Source organism: Homo sapiens, chromosome 7, assembly GCF_000001405.40.
Source record: "Homo sapiens chromosome 7, GRCh38.p14 Primary Assembly".
Taxonomy (NCBI): domain Eukaryota; kingdom Metazoa; phylum Chordata; class Mammalia; order Primates; family Hominidae; genus Homo; species Homo sapiens.
The window spans coordinates 142,236,458-142,250,150 of record NC_000007.14 but is presented as its reverse complement, the minus strand read 5'-3'; the positions used below and the strand labels follow the sequence as shown (position 1 = coordinate 142,250,150).

The 13,693-nt window shown below is 44.2% G+C and overlaps 1 pseudogene across 1 annotated transcript, besides 1 other annotated feature; it reads left to right on the top strand.

The window, feature by feature from the left end:
* Positions 3,084 to 9,414, top strand: MOXD2P (monooxygenase DBH like 2, pseudogene; annotated as a pseudogene). The gene is made up of 11 exons (NR_024346.3): positions 3,084 to 3,371; positions 4,018 to 4,164; positions 4,700 to 4,861; positions 5,107 to 5,190; positions 6,007 to 6,174; positions 6,366 to 6,468; positions 6,661 to 6,827; positions 7,178 to 7,269; positions 7,557 to 7,653; positions 7,788 to 7,847; positions 9,280 to 9,414. The product of NR_024346.3 is annotated as a monooxygenase DBH like 2, pseudogene (transcript).
* Positions 3,408 to 4,607: an enhancer, noted in NCBI's record as "BRD4-independent group 4 enhancer chr7:141945363-141946562 (GRCh37/hg19 assembly coordinates)". NCBI's record gives its function as "activates an origin of replication core promoter dependent on BRD2, P300/CBP, MED14 and CDK7 cofactors, and independent of BRD4, by STARR-seq in HCT116 cells {active_cell/tissue: HCT116}" and the evidence as "EXISTENCE:reporter gene assay evidence [ECO:0000049][PMID:35650434]".

Here is a 13,693-nt window from a genome sequence, read left to right as displayed (position 1 = left end):
ATATTTAATTATATTTGATTAATTCATATAATTATATAATATTCAATTATTTTACTTAAACTTAATAATAGATTTAGTTATATTTTCCCAACAGCTCATAGTGTTGCCACCACCCAGTAGTGGGACCTTGGGTTTCAGCAGCTTCATCCATAGGATGGAAATAATAACAAAAATTATTATTTTTTTATTACATTTTAGATAATGTATACATTATCTAAATGTATTTAGGGTCAATACATTTTAGAATAGAGCTTGGCACAGACTAAGCTTTCAATAAGAGTTGACTTCTATGATTGCAATGGTAAATTTTAAATTCAATTAAAATATGACAACTGGTAGTAATTTTAGTCTTTAATTACCATTCACTTAGTACTCAACTGAGATTAAAAGCTTAAATTCTCAGAATTTTTTTAATTTTAAAAATTATTTAAAAAAATTTTTATGCATACATAGTAGGTATATACATGTATGGGGTACATGAGATGTTTTGATACAGGCATGGAATGTGAAATAAGCACATCAAGCATTTGGGCAACATGATGAAGCCCCGTCTCTACAAAAAATACAAAAATTAACTAGGCATAGTGATGCACACCTATAATCCCAGCTATTCAGGAGGCTGAGGCAGGAAGGTCGCCTGAGCCTGGGAGGTCAAGGCTGCAGTGAGCTGTGATTATGCCACTGCAATCCAGCCTAGGTGACAGAGTGAGACCTTGTCTCAGAAAAAAAAAAAAAAGCCTTTATACTTTGGGTTACAAACAATCCAATCACATTCTTTAAGTTCAGTCATAAAAAAGAATGAGATTTACCTATTTTTCAACATTGATAAGGGGCCTCATTTTTCAGAAAGCTTGGAAACCAATCATCTGGGAAATTCAACTTAAAAGGCCCTGTATCCACCATCTCTCCAACCGCAGCATTTTACAGAGAGCAAGAAGGAGGCACAGAGGGGTTTAGAAACTGAACTTCACTATTTCAAGACCTGGGACTGCACTGCCCTCAGGTCGGTGACCCTCTTGTGGTGTCTTCCCTGTCACAGGCACTTGATAAATGCAGAAGGGAAGCAGGGCCAGCCCCAGCCCCATCTCCCTAGAGAGCCTCACACAGGTGTAGCAATGGCCTGGCTTCCTGGGGTGGAAGCCAGATAAGGATCCAGGAGAAGAGACCCTCTGAGTCTGCAGTCACTGCTCCCAGCTCTTTATTGAGGACCTTGCCTCTGTGCTGAGGACAGTGCTCTGTCCAGCAGGACAGATTGCAGGATAAGGGATCCTGGGCCCGTCTCAATTTACAAGACTGGCTATCCTGTCTCCCTACTGCCCCCTCCCTTAATCCTTAAGTGAGATTGGGATCAGAATGTCTCCACGCACCTGTTATCTCTCTCTCTCTGGTGTTACTGCTCCTCAAGGTCAGTGCCTCCCAGGCTCCGACCTCTCCTCTTCTCTTGGCTCAGCTCTGGTCCTGGGCCAAGATAAGCCTCTTGCTTCCAGATGGCTGCCGAGCTCCCTGCCTTCTCTGTCAGGCCTAGAGTTAGGGGCTGTGGCTGCCCCCTTGAGGCATTTGTTTTCTCCCTCACCACACCCCAATTACTACTCAAGTGCTCACAGCAGCAGCAAACAACCTTAGCTGGGTCCTCACCAGCTTTGATGAGCTCAGTAGCCAAAAAAAAAAAAAAAAAAAGACTATGCCTGCAATGAGAAGCTGTAAGCAGATCGTGCCGGCATCTGTACATCTACTCCTGAGCTGAATTCCTCTGTGGAGAGGTGAGGCCCAGTCTGTGTGGGAGAGGCCCTCAGGGTCCATGTCCTCTCCATTGTCAAGTGGAGAGCCAGCAACCAGGGGTCAGATGAGGTGACTTCTAGCTCTAGGTCAGCTGTGTCAGTCACCAGGGGGAAAATACTGTGGAGTTAGAGTCAGACTTTGGTTTCTTCCCTAAGAAGCAGCCAACAAATGTCACTAAATTCTTCCACCAGGACAAGCCATGTGGAAATGCATGGCAGGGGTCTGGTACCTGTAGGGTGTCTGTGACCTAAGGAAATTATGGTCAGGGACCATGACCCACCATTGACTCAACGGGGCATCAAGCACCACTCTTGTTACCCTTTGGAGCTCCCATTTCATCATCTAGAAATTAAGGAGATAGAAATTTTTGGAAAACTAAGTGGCTCTAAAGTTCTTTTCTATTCTGGTGTTCTAATATTCTAACCTTCCTTCTGTGTTGCTTCCATTGTTTGCATAATACTAATGTGCTCAATCGGGCAAGCTCAGCCTGCCATGCAGCCATTAAATTAATTTCTCTGAAAGGTAATTGATGGCCGGAAGGGAAAGCACAAAGCATCCCAAAGGCAAACTCATGTTTATTTCTCATCTTCTTCCCCTCACCTCCTCTCTCTTCCTGCTCCTCCCTAGGAGTGTGCAGAAAACCAAAGCTGCCCGACTCAACCATCTGAGAAGCTGATATCCCTCCTCTCAGTGTCCTTCTAGGGATTAGTAGCAAAGCCTCCTCTAGCAGATGGAAATTGCAGCCTTCCCTCCGGTCCCTGCCAGCTACTTCCCTCCTTCCTGCACTGCACTGGGAAATTGAAAGACTAGGTTTACAAGCAGTCCCACATCCTTGCTAGTACCGAAGTTCTATACATAGACAAAATGGGAAATGCCCACAAAAAGTGGGGTGGGGGCATAGTCCAGAGGCAGAATGTCCTGTAAAGACATCCAGGATAGAAGATGGAAGAGGTGGGCAGGAAGGGAGGGGGAGAAAAAGAAACTAAACTTTCTTGATTCTGCAGGGTCCCCACTGGCAGGACGCTGGCATGGGGTCAGGGTGGAAAGTCTAAATGATTCAATCCTAAGAATTTTCTGCCAGGCCCCTGCTTCAGAGTGAAAGCAACCTGCCCTGTATCCTCTCTGGGCACCTCTCACCTCCAGAGTTATGTAAGGGGCATCGCTCTGAACCCGGAGGATAATCAGATCAGAAGTGCCCCAGCCTGGCCCTCCCCCATGGCATGGTGCCTGGCCCAGGTAGGACATAAAACTCTGAAGCTCTCGAATGTTCATCTGCAAGGGAGATGCTCCAGGTCCCAGGAGCCATGGCCCATGACCTTCTCTTCAGGCTTTTTCCACTTTTGGCCCTGGGAGTCCCCTTACAAAGCAACCGCCTTGGCCCCACATCTCGCCTGCGCTATTCCAGGTTCCTAGATCCTTCTAATGTCATTTTCCTGCGTTGGGACTTTGACCTTGAGGCTGAAATCATCAGTTTTGAGCTCCAGGTCCGTACAGCTGGCTGGGTGGGCTTCGGTGTCACAAATCGCTACACCAACGTGGGAAGTGATCTGGTTGTTGGAGGAGTCTTGCCTAATGGCAATGTCTATTTCTCGGTAAGTGTGAGGGTGACTTGCTTCCAAGGATGAGGGTCTTTGTTGGGTTGAGGATGGTTTCTGTCCAGAAAGGATTCACATTCCCCGAGGATATCTAAACACACTCCCAGAATGCCAGCTGAATGCTGGTGTGTCCCTCCAGAAATGGTCCATTGTAGAGTTTGAAATCTATGTCTTCCAGACTGCAAGTCTCTAAGACTGCTGAGAGAATGAAACCATTAGATTGTGAGATAGTCTTGCACCACTTACTTGCTAAAGCCCACTAAATGCAGGTCACTAGGGAAAATTCAAAGCTGTCTGAGAAATAGTTACATGAAGAGCCACATGAGAGAATGAATGTCATACATACTTCAGATAATATGTGAGACTTCAAGTATTAGGGATGCAGGAATATTAGACTTTATGGACATGAGATTTGAAATGGGAGAAGTAAAGCAAGGACAGGTGGTGAAACTCCATTATCCATAAAAGTGTGCTCTGCCATGTTCTTCATGCCATGCTTTGCCCAAGGAGAAAAACTACATAATAAAGAACACCTGGGCTCTGCTACTGTAGTATCCTAGGGGAGCTAAAGGAACAGCTACTGCTCCAAAGCATGACATTTGAAGCTCCTAGTTCTTACTTCTTGACCTTCACTGGACCCAAGGATCAGCACTTGGTGGACGAAGACACTCTGAAGGAGGATGGGAGCCAGGATGCTGAGCTGCTGCGGCTGACGGAAGATGCTGTCTACACCACCATGCACTTTTCCAGGCCCTTCCGCTCCTGCGACCCTCATGACCTGGATATTACGGTAAAATAGAGAGCAGAGAAAAGCATTTAATCACAAGCAGGTTTTCCTTCTGGAGAGGTAGTTGCCCCCAGTCAGGCAGCTAGTCATCATTCCCAGGACTTCTATTCCTCTCAGCCTTCCCAGGAAATGCTCCAATTGTGCCACCTGCTGAAATCCACAAGCCTTCCGCAGGGTGACCTCCCACTGATTCACCTCCTGCCCACCTGCCCCAGGGTTTTCCTTTTGAAGAATTCTGCCCAGTTTCGCTGACCTTTAGAGTGTTAGGATATAAGAGTTTAATTCAGTCCTTTCATTTTACAGATGTGGACACAAGCTTAGAGAGGGCATGCGAGAGGGAGTGTGACTTGCTCAAGATCACCAGCAAGTGAGCCTCGGAGGCAGAAATAGAACTTAACTAGTTCTCACTCCCAGTGTGAAGCTCCTTCCATTCCACCATGTAGACATGAGCAAGTGCCTTGTGTAGGTCCTTGGGTGCAGGGATATGCAGAGTGCTGCTCAGGGGTGGCAGCTCCTCAATGCTTATGGCACCCCGCAGAGCAACACCGTGAGGGTGCTGGCCACCTATGGCCTGGATGACACTCTGAAGCTGTATCGGGAGCGTACTTTTGTCAAGTCCATCTTTCTGCTACAAGTCGTCCACCCTGACGATCTGGATGTCCCTGAGGACACCATCATCCATGACTTGGAGATCACTAATGTAAGACACCTTCATCCCACCCAGCAGCCTCCAGCTCCCTTCTCCTCACCCCACTCAACCCAGATCCCTTCTCTTGCCCCCAGTATTCAGTACATCCCTTGGGTGGAGATTACTCTGACTCTTCTCTGTCTCCTAAGGACTGCCAATCTGACCCTAATGTGAACCCCCTTCCCTGGCCTGGCCCTTGCCCTACTTTTTCAGAGCCTCACTGTCATCTGGCTCAGCTTCTGTGCACCCTTCCACAGTTCCTCATTCCAGAGGATGACACCACGTATGCCTGCACCTTTCTTCCTCTCCCTATTGTGAGCGAGAAGCATCACATTTACAAGGTATGGTGGACCAGATGGGGGACATTGTCAAGGCAGGGAAGGGTGCTGGAGCAGAGCAGGGGGTGTGGTCAACCCTGGAGGATGAGGTCTGGAAAATTTCTTGGAGGAAGCAAGAAGGAAGTAGTTGCAAGAACAGGGGGACAGGCAGGGCTTGGTAGAGGTCGCGGCTACATCATTTCCTGAGCCCAGAAATGTAACTCCCAGCGCTATTTTATTTAAGCCCCACAATGCAACAGACATGTTGATGAAGGTTAAGAATTAATAATTGTTTGCAAAGAACAAAGTATGAGCCTCAACCTGGCCCCAGAATTGTGCTCTCTTAGCCCAAGAGGAGGTAAAGGCAGGGAGAGGATATGGCCAGGGGCTGTCAGGAGGTTGAAGAAGTCTAGCTAGAATGAACTCAAACTTGGTAACCCAATTTCATATTTGAGTGATTTCAATTTTGATCAAATAAATAAAGGTATGATCTCACAATATGTGGCAAATGTGGAGACTTTCTTTCTTTAGACAGATAATTTGAAAAGGCATGGCTACATGCTCAGATACAGTGAACTGAGGAGGTTACTAAGGGAAGGCAGAATGTCCCTGGCTAGATTTCATGTCTGCTCTCCAGAAGGGGCTTAAAGGAGAGGGGAGTTGAGAGGAGAGTCAAACTGAGTGGGTGGGAAAATGGTAGCTTGGGGAACAAAAACAGAGAAAAAGGGAGAGAGAGAAACAGAGAGAAGAGGGAAATGGGTATAGTTTTGACAGGAAGGAAGATAATATGGATTTGATGTAGAAGGTCTTGATCATGCTCTGCTCTCCTTTTCTGCCCAGTTTGAGCCTAAGTTGGTCTACCACAATGAGACAACGGTGCATCACATCCTGGTGTACGCCTGCGGCAATGCTAGCGTTCTCCCCACAGGCATCAGCGACTGCTATGGGGCCGACCCTGCCTTCTCCCTTTGCTCACAGGTCATCGTGGGCTGGGCTGTCGGGGGCACAGTGAGTCCCGTGATGGGGTAAACACATGGCTAAGCGGGTGCATGTGGTTGGGTAATGAGATCACTGGGCTGGTGGAAGACCAGGGGATAGGGGAAGTCTGGGATGACAATTAGAAAACAAGGCCAGGAGCCCTGAATCCCTATGGCTGGTTCCCAGCCCTTCTTGCTGCCAAATCTAACTCCTTCCAACAGAGCTACCAGTTTCCAGATGACGTAGGAGTCTCTATTGGGACCCCCTTGGACCTTCAGTGGATCCGACTGGAGATTCATTACAGCAATTTTAACAACCTTCCTGGTGAGCATCCAGAGGATTTAAGGAAGGGAAGCTGGTGGGGCTGGCTGTTTTTTTCGGTATTGGGAACGCATTGTGGGATGTGTGCTGACTCCCTGTTGTCAAAGCCCCACCCCAGCTTTCCTGAGCCTCTTTCTCTCCACATTGTGACCCACTCTCCTGCCTCCTGTGATTGACTGTTCCTCTCTGCACCAGGTGTGTATGATTCCTCGGGGATTTGCGTGTACTACACTTCTCAGCTGCGCAAATACGACACGGATGTCCTCCAGCTGGGCTTCTTCACGTTTCCCATCCACTTCATCCCCCCGGGCGCTGAGTCCTTCATGTCCTATGGGCTGTGTAGGACGGAGAAGTTTGAGGAGGTGGAGCTGGGAGGCGCACCCTTCCTGAGGAGGAAACACACTCTCCTTACCCCCCATCCCAGATCTGGTCAGATCCACAAGCCCACACAGCCTGAACCCCAGACTTGGAGAATAATTACAGCCTGGTGCTCAGGAGATTCACTAACATGAGTTTTGCAAGGAAGGGAAGGAGTCAGGGCTTTGAGAACAAGGGAAGTGCAGAAGGAAGAAGGGTCAGAAAGGTTCAATAAGAATTACAGTGGTAAATGTCAGTCATCAGAGGAAAGTGTCAAATACCAAGGGGGGGAAATCAAGCAGCAGGTCAAGAACACAGTCCTTAACAAATCGGGTGCACCTCTTCCCTGTTACAGATGAATGGAGCTCCTATGCCTGACATACAGGTGTATGGCTACCTGCTGCACACCCACTTGGCTGGACGGGCTCTGCAAGCAGTGCAATACAGGTGAGGGAAGACCTTGAAGCTCTCCCTTCTGCAGGTGGGAATGAATTTTAAGAATAGTGATTTATTCTGTAGCATACGATTATGTCCGGTTGAGAAAAAGGAAGAGGTAGAACTATCTTTAGAGTAGAAATAACTGAAATAAGACTGTGGAAGATGAAGTTTTTTGTTTATTTTTATGGATAATCTACTCACAGAATGACCCCACCCGCATGCTACATCTTTATTGGCAGACCCCTCTGTATTTCATCTTCTCTTTATTTCTGAATTCCCGACTTCTCTTCCTCTAGGAATGGAACACAACTTCGAAAAATCTGTAAAGACGATTCCTATGACTTCAACCTGCAGGAGACTCGAGATTTGCCCTCTAGAGTGGAGATCAAGCCGGTGAGAGTCTGAGGGAGGCCAGGCAGAGTTGGGGGCAGCAGCATCATACCTCATTACTGACAACCAAGAAAGTTCTCAAGCTGTACCAGTCCCTCTGTGTCTTACTCTCAGCCTTCATGTTTCACTCTGAACAGGGAGATGAATTGCTGGTAGAATGTCACTACCAGACACTGGACCGTGACTCCATGACATTTGTAAGTGACCTCTCACCCCACCATGGTCACCATGACCATAGCCCCAGTGGAGAGCCCACTCATGGCTTTGGCTACCCAGTGACCCCTGTGATTTCACTGAAGCCCCTTCCTTCCTCCAATGGCATCACACATCCACACGGGGCTTTTCATGTTCTCACACCCCATGCATCTAAGATAGGAACAGGGATTTCTCACATTATCTGCCAATAACCCACCAAGACCATGGAAATATAGTATGCTATAGCGACTAAGAGCAGAGATTCTGGGGCCTCATTGCCTGGGTTTGAATATCAGCACAATCATTTAGTACATTTCTAACTTTAGACAAGTTATTTGACTTTTTTGTATCTCAGTTTCCCAATTCACATAAGATTAATACTACTTTCTACCTCACAAGATTGTTGTGGGAGTTGGTTAACACATGCAAAACACCTAGATCATTGCCTGACTTGTAGTAGATTCTCAATTAAAGTTGGCTATTGTTTCTATGATCACAAGAAAATCCCCCGTTTTGTGCATCAGGAGTGGTTCAGTGCTTGTGGGATTCAAAAGGTGTTGCAGGCAACTGAGGAAAAAATACCGCCCTACAAATGATTATATCACAAGTTAGTAAGTGATATATACCATACAAGAAGAACGGGAATAACCCACTAGGGAAATTCACAGGAAAGAATCATGAGATCCTACTACAGTGAACTGAACATGTGACGTAGGTGAATGAGTCCTTCTTTAGACACATAGAGATGGGGAATTCTGGAGAAGGAAAAAACTGAGAAAGCCATATATAAGGAGAGCGTGGGGTGCACATGAAGAAGTTTGGTTGGCAAAAGATATCTAAAGGAATGGAATGAGGATGAGGTAGATAAAGTTGGAAACAGTCCTTGAAGCAGGGGTGATCCTGACCCACCTATATCTCCAGGACAGCAGGGCTAACTCTATAAATATTTGCCAGGTAAGTAAATGGAATGAATGAATGGGTTGGAATTTATTAGATAGAATCAAATAATTGGTTTAGTGATGACTGACTATTCCAGTGACTGGAAGCCACTGGAGGTTTCAGAACAGGCAAATGGCAGGATGCAAGACAAATTGTAAACAACTTGTCTGGTAGCTCTACAGAGGTCAGATTGCAATTAGAACAGATGAGTGACTGACAATAGTTGAGAGGCAGATAGTCTAGCCCAAATCAGGATAGTGGCAGTGAAGCTGAGGACAGGGCAGATATATGGAATGCTTTTTGGAATAACATCAATAATTGTCCACCAATGAAAATAGAGCAGCAAATAGGGCAGTGAGCTGGCTCTACCTTAAGGGAAAAGGAGAATGGCATCACTGGTAAGATAACCACTTCAACTATTTTCTGTTTGCTTTGTCCTCCTGTCTCTGCATGCCTTTGTATCTTTGTCTCTCCATCTTTGTCTGTTTCCTCCAGGGAGGCCCCAGCACCATTAATGAGATGTGCCTCATCTTCCTCTTCTACTATCCCCAAAATAACATCTCCAGCTGCATGGGGTACCCTGACATTATCTACGTGGCCCACGAGCTGGGGGAGGAGGCATCAGAGTGAGTCATCCTGAAATACAGGACCTCGTGTGTGTGGAAGGGACCTTGGGGAGGACTGGGGGAGGAAGAAAGGAAGCCCTACCCACTACCTCCTTTATTTTTCTCTCTATTGCTGGTCTCAGCATTTAGTTATCAGTAACATATTCATTGAGCACCGTCTATGTGCTTGACATCAGGTCAAAAACAGGTGCCACTGAAATAAATAGGAAATGAGACATGCATTTCTCTTCCCTTACAGAGCTGCAGTTACATGCCTACAAGCCCCTCAGCAGCCATTCTCTCCTTGAGGTCACACTGTCCCCTTCTGAGCCTTACTCCATGCCACCTAATGTTTCCTCTTCCAGTCGCCTCAAGAAATGGACTACATTTTTGTCAACCTGCAGAGAATAATGCACTTCTATAGTTAAAAGGTATGCATTCATATTACATACATATTAGACAGACAGTGCATATGAATACCGCTGGGAAAGTACTTTAAACATTCCCACAGGCGGTGGGAGCTTGAATTCGATGACTTCAGGATCCTCTCCAGATCATATGTTCTGGATGCAAGTTTCCTGACTGCGTTACATGCTGCAAAAGAAAGATACCCCAACTTCCTCTAAGAACACTCTGTCACTTGGGCCTCTCTGTCATCTCTCATCCTTCAGGGGTTTCTGAGGTCAGATTCTCTCCTAGTGACTATGAGAATGTAACTCTTTTTCTTCTTCACCTCCTCTACTCACAACTTCATATTAAATGTGGAGGATAAATAAAAGATGTATTCCTTATTTTTACTTTTCTCTGTGGTTCTATGAGGACAAGAGGACCCATGGGCTAATGTTTACTGTGACTTTGGTCTTTAGTGGCTTAAGAATATTTTGATACAATTTCAAATTCATAAAGAAGGGCAGTAATTCTTATATATTCTTTACCCAAATCTAACCATTGATTACATTTGGCTCCATTTCTCTCTCCTTCTCTTTCTCTTCCTTTTCTCTTATTTCTCCTCCTCCTTCTCCTTCTCCTCTTTCTCTCTTCCTCCCTCCCTCTCCATACCTTCATGAGTCGAATAATTTAGTTTCTTCTCCCTGTTTGCTAGGGTTTCCATCAGTATCTAAGTCCCTGCTACTACTTAGTTAGCTGACAATGAACAGGAAAGCTCTCAACTACACTAACCCAGTGGCTGTCAATCTTGACAGCATATTAGTATCACCTGATGATGAGCTACCACCCAGGCATTCGTAGGTTATTGAATTCTCCAGGCATTTCCAATATGCTATTAAGACTGAGGACCCCTGAATTAGAAGTTCAAATGTTCTTCACCAGTCTACTTCCTGGATGGAACAGGAATCACATTCTAACATCACACATTTAAGCCACAGCACAGGCACTGACCAGTCAAAATGGACATCAGTGGAAACAAATCCTGGAAGCCCCCTGATTTCCTGTAGTTAGAATTTTAGTTGCTAGATCATGAGAATATGTGGGATCTCAGAGAAGTGGCACGTTTAGAGGCCTCAGGAAGTGGCTATTACCAAACATCACTCAATAAATAAATAGCAAAGAAAGACAAGTTCTTCCCAAGCAAAATAACAAAGGCAAAAGGAATAAGGAGATACAAAATCACTGTTTAGCAAATTTGAGAGTAATAATTGATTCAGGCAGGAATCATCAATGGATGCCACAACTAACAAATGGGATGCTGCATAACTTCAAAGTATCTTCTCACAGTATATTTATTATTTATGTTGAGACAAAATAGTAGCTTTAGAAACCTGGAAGACACCACCTCAACCAAGTAACCCCACAGAACATCAGCGATAATGGACAGATGGACATTGTGTGGCTCCTGATAGGGAGCACTGAGATGGGCTCAACATCGTGCCTGTGTTATTTCCCTCAAAAATGCATAACCTCAGTGCAATCACGAGGACATATTAGGTAACCCTCAAGTATGAGGGATATTCTACAAATAACTGACTAGTAATCTTCAAATGTCAAAATTATGAAAGAAAAAAAGAAACCAAGGAATAGTTCCAGAATAGAGGGGAGTAAAAAACAAGCAAAATAAAACAATGAAACAATTAAATGCGACATGCAATTGTGCTCGCAGACTAATTTCTTTTGTGTTGCTGTTGTTTGTGCTTCCTATATTGGACATTATTGGTGCAATTGGTGAAATGTGCCTGGTGTCTGTGCATTGTGTGGTGGTAGTGTATGCATGTTAATTTCCTGGTTTGGATGATGATGTTGTAGTTATGTGAGAATACGTTCTTGTCTTTTTAGGAAATACATACTAAAGTATTTTTGTGATAACGAAACACATTGTATACAAACTGTCGAATGTTTGTGAGATAGAGAGGGGGGAAAGGAGGAGAGAAAAAGAGAAAAGTGATAAAGTAAATATAGTGAACAATTTGTAATTTACAGGAGATAACTGGGAAAAATGGATAAAGAGAATACTGGAATTTGTTACTATACTTGCAACTTTTCTCCAAGTTTGAGCTTATTTGAAAATGAAATATTAATTAAAGCAAAGAAACCAGCACAGGATCTATATAAAAACAGTATTAAAAATGTGGAAATCAGGGAGAGAAAGAGTAACCTGGAAAAAAAATTAGAAAAATGTTGTTTCTAAACAACACCTGCACGTTTTCCCAAGCAAGCATTCTTGACCAATTTTCACTCTGAGCAGAGAACTTTCCATCTCCAAGCTATAGTAGAGCCCTGGACCCTTGGACTAATTTCAGCTGTCAAGCTGTCTGGCATAACGAGTAATAACATGCATGGCTTAAGGCTGCAAAATACATATATAGGATTTTATAGACAACTACTTAAATAACCACAAGATGGTAGAATTCAAATAAATATATATATTATATATATTCTTTTTTAGCTACATGTCATGAGACAGATGTTTTAGAGGAATAAGGAGTTTTAATCTGGATGACTGGTAAGAAAATAGTAGCCATTATCTAAAAAGCGAAACAGTATCAGAGAGATGGTTTAACATGAAAAATTAAAGCTTATAGGTAGACCTCTGGGAAGCCAGAATTTATCTCAGTACCGACAAAAACGTTTTTAAAATAAGTAATGAGCAAAAATTTAATGGGCAACCTTTTGAGGATGTATAAATCACATGCTGATGAGATTGGAAAGATGTGGTGTGGACGAAACTCTTTTATGGGTGGAAATTTTAAACCACATATGCCCTAAACTCTGTTCCTACTCTGGTGTACTTTTATCTGGGCATATATTGGAGAAAAGTTTCTGTTGCATCTTATAATACACTCTGTCCTCTATATTACCAATTTTCCCTCTGACTAATCATCTACTTAAATCATCCAATAAAAGACTAAATTTCTCTCAAGCTGAAATTAGAAATATGTGTCTTCATACAGGTCACAGGAATTGTTGTAATCATAAATTATAATCTGCCAGAAAGAAAAATATAATGTCTAGTCTAATCTGAAATTAGAATAGCTTGTATTACTCTTGTAATGATCACATGGTAAAACATCTAGTATTGGGTGAAAGTAATCCCCTGGAGATCTTTAAGCATCTTTTCCTCAAATAAATCAACCCTCAACTGGATTGAAATCACCTTTTCTGAGGTTTTCCTCTGCCTAATGTGATCTAGAAAACCCTCAAGCCATGGGAAATCACTGCTTACTCTCCAACCAGAGTACCATTCCTATCTTGCTCACTACCCCATATACTAAATCACCATCCACAATATAATCCTCTGGGGTAACTCACCATCATAAGGCCCTCATCCTCACACTGCTCTGCACAGCCCCAGTCTAACCCCATCCCACACCTTCTCTCAAACCCCTCCACAATAAAAGACCTTTAGAAAGCAACAAACTCTCTGAAAGTTTCTACCATCTCTTTGTAAGAAGTGGAGGTAGATTGACATCCTCCCTGCTCCCCTCTCCAATTTCTCTCCTTCTCTCAAACCCGAGCTCCTTTGAAAAGCTTGTACTAAGAACACAGCTGCTTGCTGCTGTCATCCAATGTCCTCTGCAAGTCACACCATTCATCCCTTGATGACTACAATCAACTGTCTCTTCTTCCACCACTCCTCCTGTGTCTTTTTGGAAATATCGATATTCACAGAGTGGTTCTGTCCAGCATACCAGCCTCTCAGTTTCTTGAACTCAGTCTTTTATTGTACTAACTTCCCTTCTTTCCCAGGCCAGATTCCATGGGCCAGAACTATAACTGCTTCCTTACAAACACTCTTACCTTTATTAACTCCCTCTCTCTTTCTGTCATATTTGCATAGTAATATCTCAATT